General features: G+C 45.4%; 1 protein-coding gene and 1 long non-coding RNA gene across 3 annotated transcripts in view, besides 1 other annotated feature; both read right to left on the bottom strand.

The window, feature by feature from the left end:
- Positions 1 to 10,695, bottom strand: part of SND1 (staphylococcal nuclease and tudor domain containing 1) — a 440,400-nt gene that overhangs the window by 85,478 nt on the left and 344,227 nt on the right. The window lies entirely within an intron of this gene.
- Positions 6,744 to 6,903: an enhancer, noted in NCBI's record as "active region_26593". NCBI's record gives its function as "activates an Ori minimal core promoter by ATAC-STARR-seq in GM12878 lymphoblastoid cells {active_cell/tissue: GM12878}" and the evidence as "EXISTENCE:reporter gene assay evidence [ECO:0000049][PMID:35858748]".
- SND1-IT1 (SND1 intronic transcript 1) lies at positions 7,039 to 9,607 on the bottom strand. Its single transcript, NR_027330.1, has one exon. It is a non-coding gene; the product is annotated as an SND1 intronic transcript 1 (long non-coding RNA).

Here is a 10,695-nt window from a genome sequence, read left to right as displayed (position 1 = left end):
AGCTTCACAGAGAGCTGGCTGCCTTCTCCAGGCCTGGCATCCGCATACTGCAGAGCTACCTGACACAGCAACACTGGGTTTCTAACAAAATCTCGCTACTGGGAGAGGGGCATCTAAAATAGTGACCTCAACCCACTCGGCGCTCAGGAAACAAGACTGAGATGGCAGTGCTCCTCCGGAGAAGGCTGGCTGTGTGCTCGGGCTGACACAAAGACTGCGACCTCCATGCTGGCAACAACCAGCCCTGGGAACTGCCACTCCCACTGCTCACCATTAACTGCCCACTCAGGTAAGTGGCTGAGCAGGGTTCTCTTCCAGGTAGCCCTCCAAATGCAGCCTCTCTGCCAAAAGTCTACATAGGCAGGAGTTTCTGGGAATTGGCTCACTTTATGCCACAGCAGCAAACTTCAGCACTGATGGGAGTTGAGAGGGCCTGGTGACCACACTGGGTGTGGGGGACAACAGTTGCTTCTGTGTAAGAACCAACAACCTTCAAAATATGGTACATAAAGGAGAAGCAGCAGCTGGGTTAGCCAAGCTTTGGCTTTGTAGTCAGTGCCAACTTCCCTCTTAAGAGTCCTGGGATTCAAAGAACCCTGGTCCTCCCACCAGGTGAGTGAACTAATACATATTTGCCATTCGCAATGCACAGTTTTTAAAATGTGCATGTAAGTGTGTGGCAGCTAACTGTCCTATTTGGGAGGTGGGGGGAGGATACCCCATTACCTTTCCCCAAATGAGAGTCAAGAGACTGTTCCCAGTGAGGCTGGTCAAAACACACATGCACGCACACACACACAAGGATCCACCATTACCTTTTCCAAGTGAAAGTCAAGATACTGTTCCCAGTGAGGCTGAACACACACACACACGCACGCACGCACGCACCCTTCCCATGCTTGTTTCTCTAGGGCAGAAAAAGAAGCTGAGAAGAACTGTCTCCACTCTACATTCCTGGTGGATACAGAACCCTCTAAGAACAAGAACACTTCCTTCACCCACAGCCCTGCTAAGGCCAGACCCTGGGCACCTCACATTCCCCCAGGGTCAGCTGAAGTTACTACTTGAAGGCTCATGAAGGGAATGACAAACCTTTGCACCTTTGGCAAAAGCAGAGCCAGTTCACAGGGGTCATGGACTTTTCACTCAGCACACTCATTTTACATTCTGTGGAAAAAGATAACAAAGGAAGGCTGTGTCCTTTAGAAAAAGGTCGGGGGCTGGGGGTGGGGACTTGAGAAGTGCTGGGGGAGACTGCAGCTCCATCAGCTGATGCCGTATTGCCTCTGCTAGAGAGCCCAGCACAGGTGGGGAGCTCCTCAAATAAAGCAAGCCTCGGAGTTGGAGACCAGGCTCCACAGCAGTTTTCCTGTTCAGTACCTGCAGTCTCCTTCTTCACCCAGCTTTGATTACAGGAGTCAAACACAGTGGTTCTCTCATTCCTATCAAAGCAGGTTGGAAAAAGAAGTAATCCCAACTGTAAATCAGCAACCTAACAGGCATTGGGAGAGGTCACTGGTGGCTTGGTAGGAAATGGATAGCTCATGACAAATGAATTGGTACTGCCTGCCATTTTTTCTTGCCATCACTTGAATCAATAAGGGAAAAGGTGAATTGCTATTGATCTCTTCAACACCTTTCAACGATACTGTACAAATTACAGAAACACAAGGGGGCGGGTGAAAGAATGAAAGAGGAAGGACAGATGAAAGACTGTCTGGGCGGTGTAAGCCTGCATGTATTTCCCTGGAGGCAGTCTTCCAGTCACTGGGTGTTAGGCATGCGTGGGTGCACATGTGAGTGTGGCATGAAGAGCCCTTTCTCACACCTGGAAGGGCTGAAGGGCTGGCTACGGAGGGCCCCTCTGCACCTCACATGCTGGCAATGCTCCAACAGGGCTACTTCGCTTGATACAAGGCTAGATTATTGAGAGGTGCTGTGAATCCCAAGGCCTCATGAATTTTTGAAGTTGTCACACGTTAGTGGTGTTGGGATAGGCTATCTCAACAACTGACTATAATTCTGGACAGGAAAGCAAGAATCAAAAGCTTCAAGGGCAATCTCTAGCTATACCTTACTAACCTCACTCCCTGGCTGACATGCCCAGAAAATATAGACAGACAGCAAATAAGGCAAAGCTATCTTGCTTCGTACTTGAAAATAACAAAGATTACGGCAGCTAGGGCACAGGCCTGTCCTTTTAAACACTCTGGGCAAAAGACATGGCATGAATATCAGAGGCCTGGGTCCAAATGTTAGAGGTCTGGCTGTAAACCTAGGGTGAAACGGATACTGACCACACAGGCAAGATTGCAAACTCTATGTAAATACGGCCTTATGCAGACAACCAGGAAATAAGACACACGGTTATGATGGCTGGGGATAACAACCCATAACACAAAGATGAACATCTGATGTCTGTTTTCATCTTTAGCTCAGGAATAGTGCAACCAGAGCGGCAAAGACTGAAGGAACCCCTAAGTCCTCTGGGACAGATTCTCTTTAGGATATGCTGCTTATCAGAAGCCAAAGTCAGTACTCTACTCATGTCCAGAAAAAGGCAATGCAAAAGATTTCATGGCATAGAGAAAAGGAAATATTGGCCAAAGTTTAGTCCAATGGGGAACATCATGGTCAGATCTCAGGGTCCCAGGCCAACAGTTCTCCTATTCTACCAACTGGGCATAATTATTCAGTTGCTGGTGACAGAAAAAAATGTTCTGACCAGAGGTCCCTCTTCAGGTCACACAGCACTCTTAGTGCATCATCTGGGGTCTGGGTGTCCTTAGAAACCTCCCCACCACACCTGAGTATTCACCTTTTAGCATTCTCTAGGCAAAAGAGGGCTTAGTTCTTCCATTTTGCAGCTGGCAAAACCAAGGCAGGCAGTCACTGACATGTAAAAACAATGAGAGCCCTTCACAACGCTCCTGGCACCCTTGCTTAATCTCCAGAAACTGACTCAGGGTATAACTGTATCATTCAGAAATCAGTTGATATCACAGTTAGCCAGTCTACCCATCTTCCTCCCACAAATACATCAAGGGCCAAAACATAGGGCAAAAAAAAAAAAAAAAGAAAGTAAGTTACAAAGCTGCTGATGTGTTAGAGTGGAAATGCTGAGATTAGGAGGAGGAAGTGGTTAAGTGCACCCTGGGTGTTTGGAAATGGCCACGTCTGCAGCCCTGGAAGCTGATGAAGAAGGAGCTCTAGCCCTCTCTGCCAGGCAGGCCACGAGACCAGCCCCTCACTCCAGAGGTAGGGAGCTTGGCTGTGAAAGGGCATGATGGTAAGATACAGCTATTTAGCAAACACCAGTCCCCTCCCACAAGGCATCTTCAATTCCAAAAGTGACCCTATTCTAAAATTACCAAGTGGCAGGTGGCCAGGCCAAAAATCCATATCCAATCAGTGCTAATGGACTGTTTGTTGCATTTCCTCATATATGGCTGCAGCACTGCTATGAAAACCCTGGGTCGGTGGTTTGAGATTTATTTAACTGGAGAGGTAACGGCACCCCAGCACCGCAAGCATTATAGAGATGTGTGAAGTGAAATGGCACATGCAGGCTGCTGGTGGGGAATGGAGGGACCTGTTGGTCTTATTTGCATGATCTTCCACCTCTAGCTGTACACCCAATGCCAAATCCTTTTCTGGTAACCATTAAAAAGAATTCGACTGCATCAAGAGAAGGGAAAGGGGAGAAGAGGAAGGCATATGTTAAGCTGAAAAGGAAAACAGCACAGTGAAGCAGTTTCCAGTTCCTTCTTTCATTCTCGGTTCAAGAGGTACCTGTTCTTGCTACAGTGACCCAAACGCTTCTTCTTGGAGGCCTTTTCCTATCCTTTTCAGTCTTGTTTAACACCTAGATTTTTCTTTTTCATTTTCATTTTTTTCTTCTTTTTTTTGGAGAGTCTTGGCTCTGTTGCCCAGGCTGGAGTGCAGTGGCACGATTTCGGCTCACTGCAACCTCTGCCACCAATTCTTGGCCTCAGCCTCCTGAGTAGCTGGGACTACAGGGATGTGCCATCACACCAGGCTAACTTTTGTATTTTCATTAGAGACAAGGTTTCGCCATGTTGGCCAGGCTGGTCTTGAAATCCTGGCCTCATGTGATCCCCCTGCCTCGGCCTCCAAAGTGTTGGAATTACAGGTGTGAGCCACTGTGCCCAGCCTGTGTTACCACCTAGTTCTTTCTTTAGTGCTTCTGCTGGCACTGTGCTATCTATCTTCCAACTCTTCAACTTAATGCAGGTCAAGGACAAATCTATGGCAATCCTGGATTGTTGTGGTCATGGTAGGAAAGTATGGAGACACAAAGGAGCACTGCTATTCTGTCAGAGGATAAGGAAGCCTGTACCAGCCAGGATCTAGTTAGTTCATACCCGTATCCCTCATTTTCAAGTTGCTGTGACAATGTCACAGAGGACCTGCATCAACAGAAAAAGCAGAGAGCCCTCACTGTTGGCAGATTAGTCTCCAAATACCCCTATGGCAAGTGGAGAACACTGCAAAGATGGTCAAACCATTATTCCTTAGACATCCATGAGGTATGTGTGGAGTCCTGGTGTCACCCCTCCCTTGGTGATCACCTTATCAGTCCATAGCCAAGTCTAGAAAAGGCATCTTGCATAGGTTAGGACTTGCTGGCATTATCTCCAGACCTTTGGTTTTCCACTGAATGTAATACTGCCTAATGTGTGGGACCATGAGGAATCAGAGACAAAGAGACCTTATGTTATTTTACTTCACAGAATAAAAGACTGGCTGATGTCCTGAGGGTACTTAAATAAATAATCCTTTGCAAACTTAGACCAAGGATGGAAAATAGGTTTCCGTTAAGTGCCAAATCCTCTCAACTGGTAGTAGTAGCGAGGATCCCTGTTTTGAGAAGGATCTGAGCCCTCAGCCAAAGCAGCGCGGTGACTGACTGGCAATGTCTGCCATGGGTGGACAACCCGAATAGGGGTAGCATATGCATATGTGCCATCACTGGCTTAGACAGGCTGGGGGAGTGAAGAGCACTGGGAGGGTTGTTCTTTGTTGATTCTAATCTGAATGCTGCTCACAACACACATACCTAGATCCAGCCTAGAACTCTACTCTGGTTTTGTACATACTGAAGTTCAAGTCCTAAATTTCAGTTAAGCCCTGAGAGAATTTCTTTTATTTTTTTTTGTTTTTGAGATGGAGTTTCGCTCTTGTTGCCAAGACTGGAGTGCAGTGGTGCGATCTTGGCTCACCGCAACCTCCGCCTCCTGGGTTCAAGTGATTCTCCTGCCTCAGCCTCCCAAATAGTTGGGATTACAGGCATGTGCCACCATGCCCAGCTGATTTTGTATTTTTAGTAGAGACGGGGTTTCTCCATGTTGGTCAGGTTGGTCTTGAACTCCCGATCTCAGGTAATCGGCCCACCTTGGCCTCCCAAAGTGCTGGGATTACAGGCGTGAGCCACTGTGCCCGGCTGAGAGAATTTCTATTAATAATAAAAATGATGCTGTAAGCTACCATTCACTGAGTGTTTAATATCTTGGGTTGTGAGGAACAGTTTACACATACACTTAATTTTCACAGTAACCCTAGTGAGAAGGTACCCTCCTTACATAGGTGAGGCAATTAGGTTTAGCAGGATGGCTGCATTGCACAATGCTAGGGATAGCGTTCATATTAAATTCTAATAGGCACTGAGATTGCCCTCGGTTTAGAGAGGCTAAGGGATGTGTGCATGGTCAGACAGCAAATGGTGAAAGTGGAATGAGAACCTAGGTTTGACTTTTCACATGCTAACAGAGTTTCATTAAGAAGGAAAAGATGCCCTTAAATGTCCTAAAGAAGAGACTAAGAATGAGCTATTCCTTTCTCACTATGTGAAACATGTTGTTTTGACCAGGTTAGGGTATCTCTGTTCTTAATTCTCAAGCTTGCTCATAATCTTATTTCATGCACCGCAGCATTTCATAACAGACCATTGGTCACTTTCATTTTCAAAATCCATTTAAGTGCAGCTGACCAGAAACCGTCACGGGTGGAGTAGCAAGTGGAAAGTTCATCAATAAAGCCAGGTTTGGAACACGGAGGTTCTCTTCAAGTCCTTGGCAACAGACACAGGGAGTGGGCATGCTAATGGCAAGAACAGGGCAGGGTAAAGGTCAGCTCATCCACCAGAACAGTTGCCCCTCTGTCCTTGGGCGAGTCACATGTGAAACACCACAACGTTAGTATTACCTGGAGAAAAAATGCCATCTACAGTCTGCTTGTGCTCTGCTGGTGGCTCAGGCAGCCTTGCTATTATACATTAAGAGCTGTGTTCTAAAAAGATATGAGTTGAATTATGTAATTCCATAGGGGATATTCAGACAATGGGCATGGCTTGCAATGTTTAGGACAAACGGAACAGGGAGGCCTGAAGCCTGAAGACACTCCAAACATACCACATTAAAGTTCACTTGCCAGGTGCAATGGCTCATGCCCGTAATCCCAGCACTGTGGGAGGCTGAGGCAGGCAGATCTCTTGAGCCCAGAGTTTGAGACCAGCCTGGGCAACATGGTGAAAGCCTGTCTCTACAGAAAATAACAAAACATTAGCTGGGCATGGGGACACGGGCCTGTAGTCCTACCTACTTGAGAGGCTGAGGTGGGAGGGTCACCTGAGCCTGGGAGGTTGAGGCTACAGTGAGCCATGACTGTGCCACTGCATTCCAGCCTGGGCGACAGAGTGAGACCCTGTCTCAAAAAAAAAAAAAAAAAGAAGCAAAAGCAAAGCAAGCTCACACTCAAGTCTGTATGGGTGTTGGCCAATGCTCTGGGTTCAGAAGTTCTTCTGAAAACAAGTAGTGGGCAGGTCTGTGTGAGGTCATCTTTAGTTTGTCAAGAAATTATCTGCTTGTCTGTAGATACTACCAAATTAGGCTTCCAGAAGGAAGTTAACAGATTTCACAATAGGTATTTCACCTGAAAAATAAAAATTCTGAGCTGCTTTTCTTCAGCCCTTTGTTATTAAAAATATTAGCTTCCACCTTTTTTTTTTTTTTTTTTTTTAGAGAACACTCACCAAAGCTCAAGAAGCAGTGACTATTCAGGATGATTACAGAGGTAAGAGAAACTAGGAATTGTTACTAGGAGCACCTGATATATCAAAATGAAATAAATGGCACCCAGCTCTCCTAGCACAAACCCTACCTCTCAGGGGAGTCCAGCAGTCTCTTCCTCCTGATAACATTTTTCCATTTATTCTAGGTCATAGGCCCTACATAGCTATGAGAGGGAGACCAGGAGACTGAATGTGCCTGGCAATAGCTATCTTCCATAGGAATGGCTCATTAAGAATATCATTTCATGTCAGATGGGTAGACTGTATCGAATACCATGAGTGGCAAGGGTTCTGCTTGGCAAGGCTCTGTTTCAAGGACTTTCATGACCTTATGTGATCCAGTACATGCATTCCCCAATTGCAATCACTGCCCACTATCCTCATCATCCAGCTTCAATTGAGATGAGGCATAAAGTAAGTACTGTGGACCCTTCTAGCAGAAAAAATGCAAGAGGAAATCACATGTGAGGCTTTTATGTCTTTACTCTGGGCTGAGCTGGGTTAGACCTAAAGATGGAGAGGAAAAGTGAGTGCCAGGAGTCTTGGAACTGCTAAGGTTTCTATTGCTTCTACTTGGGGGGAAAAATGAAACTGTCAGGTCTGAGGACTGTATTTCTTCCTTTTTTTTTTTTTTGATAGGAACAACATTAAGAAAAACAAATTGATCTGACAGAGAAAACATAAAACTCTCTTAAGGAAGAGTTTACTATAGTAGGGACACATTCCCTAGGGGAAGGGAAGGGAAGCGTCTGCTGAAAAGGATTTTCTTCCCTGGGCTAGAATTACATCCTTGAGGCCTTCCTACATGTTCCAAGGAGGCCAAATCTCTTGTGGTCCTAAACTATTCCTCATTCCACTCCTAATCCCAACAGCCATCCTGGGATAGGAACACTAGCCTCTGGAGAGCAGTGAGGCCTACCAAACCTACACCAGTCAGCCCATATGACATAATTACAGGTAACAGAATCTTGGCCAAGCCAATGAAAAATTAGGCACAGTACCTATTTCAGAAGAATGGATGCAATTCTATGCTTGACTGGCTATGAAAGTTCTAAGGAGAGGAATAGGGAAACAGTCAAGCTAAGCCAGCAGCTTTGCAGAGAGGAATCCCACTGGAGCCAGCACAGTATTGGCACCTATTAGCACATGCTGCTGAGCTCACTTGGGGAAGGCCACCAGTGACTGGAGACTCAGCTACTTCCAGGCGTTAAAAGCTGATAGAGGAAGCCCAGTAGTCAGGGGAAGAAAGGCAATGGGGCAACGTCCCCCATGGTACATTTCTACCTCCACTTTTCTCCTTGTGATGCCACTTTCATTTAGGGGCTGGAATGGGATTTGAGGGCCCTCTCTTCTCTCTAGGCTTTCTGAAGTACTTCGCAAAGGGCCAGGAGCCCAGAAGTGAAGGGGCTGTAATAGACAGATAACAACCTGGTATTCAGGAACAGCCCGTCTCCAAACAGGAATTTGTTGACCTGAACTTCAAAATTAACTCTTCGCTTATTTAGCAGTCTAATCCACAAAACAGAAACATACCAGAGAGGGAGAGATTTGCAGACTATGTTCAGAGAGTGAAGGGACACGAATGGTTTCTATTTGAACACTAAACATTTTTCAAAACACTCATCATTATCTCATTACCTTTAAATATACTGGCTGGAGAGACAGGGAGACCCAGGCAGGTCAGGGTCCTATAGTAAGTGCACAGTCAGGTTTTGGCTATGGACTTTTTCAATGATAAGCTGATGAATTAGCAGCCATGTGTCCAGTCTTAATACTTCAACAGTTTTCCTCCCACCCTGACAAATGCCAAGCTTGGAGAGCTTTCCTAAAGAACCATAAAGGACAACAAAATAACAGGCCTTCTTCCCATTCTCTAGAATTAGGTCACAAGGAATCAATTAGTTGATTTGACAAATATTTATTTATTGAGTATCTCTTATATACTAGGCACTGGAGTACAAAGACAAAACATGGTTCCTGTCTGTGAGGAGCTTACAAGCTAGTGGGGAGAGACTTGGGTCATAGATCCCTTGTATACTATTGGTAAGTGCACAACAGATACATGCACAGGGTGCTGTGGGAACTGATGGAAGGACATCTCATCTAGCCTGGGAGAGCAAGGGAAGCCTTCCAAGAAAAGGTGGTGCACCTTCCAGAACAGGAGTGAATAGGAAAGCAAGCAAGGGCGATGACTGATGTGCTGGGCCGAAAGTGTAAGTCTACCTGAGAGATGGGAGAAACAAAATGTAATGGTATATATGGTGAACTGCCAGTATAACAGGTCCATTCTGATAAGGCACGAATTACGAAGTGAGTGGGGGTGGTGAGACATAAAGTTGGAGAGGTTATCAAGAATATATGTAAACTGAGATAAGACTTTATCCCAGAGGCAATGGGGAGTTATATTTTTTAAACAAATGCACCTACACAGTCAGATTTGTCTTTTAAGAAACATTAGATATAGGAATATAGACATACATGAGCAAATGGGAAAAGTAAGGCCCACAAAAATCAAACAGCAGATGAAGCAGGAATCAGACAACAGACACAGGAGCTGTGGGAAGAGCAGAGTAAATATTTAGGGGAGGCATGGGCATAGCAAATTCTTCAAATTCCTCTGCAGTCTTGGAAGCATTCAGGATCAGAATCCATGCCCTATAGAAGACTGACTCTTAGTCAATGTGGGACCTTCAGGGAAGTCCTCTACTATTCCTTTAACTAGTTCCAGATATTCTATGGTTGAAAAATGGTAAAATATGGCTAAAAGAATTATTGCCTTCTAAAAGCAAAACTGGCATGATTTGAGGAGAAAAAGCATTTGATTTGGAATGCAGATATTTGAGTTTTAGTATATGTCTTACCATTAGCTCTGTGAACAGAGGCAAGTTACTGTGCATTTTGGTGTCCTGAACTGTAAGACAGGGTTAATATTTTTCTTATAGGTTTGCTGTGAGATTAAAATGAAACATTATGCATGAAAACACTTTTAAAATGAGAAAATGCTATATAAAATTAAGGTTTGATCGCTATTAAGACAGGAGTTTTTCTTACCTGAGACTTCTTCAAAGAATATGGCCCTTAACTAAGAATAAACTGCTTGAAATTAAAGACCACTGGTGGGTGATGAACTGTCAAGCATGTGTGGGGAGGTGATAAAGGCCTTAGCCCCCAAACAGCCTTTAAAAGCTTGTGGGATGAGAGAGCTATTTAGAAAGCTGACCATAACATGTTCCCTTTTTCCTGGGCAGTGGCTGAGATAATCTAGAATAAGGGGGCTTTGTGAAAATAAATGAAACATTGCCGGACAGCCTGCTTGCTTTTCCAGCAGGTAATTATTTGTGGCTCGGAGAGGGTTCCCAAGCGACATGGCCGTCAGGGAGAGTCAGGAGAGTAGGTTGCACTGGATTCACCCTCACTGGGCGTCCATTACTTTCTTGGAATTTCCTGTGGCTTGAACTGTCCTCATTCCTTTGATCCAGAGATATAACTTTGCTAGTGTTCCCTCTCTTGTGGGTCTCCTCAACAGGGAAGGAGCCTGCGCAGAGAGATGGAATGGGAAGGGCTAAGAGAGCATACACCACAGCGCTTGTGGGGTGATGTAGGGA

This window comes from Homo sapiens, chromosome 7, assembly GCF_000001405.40.
Source record: "Homo sapiens chromosome 7, GRCh38.p14 Primary Assembly".
NCBI classification, from domain to species: Eukaryota; Metazoa; Chordata; class Mammalia; order Primates; family Hominidae; genus Homo; species Homo sapiens.
This window is presented reverse-complemented; position numbering and strand designations above follow the sequence as displayed.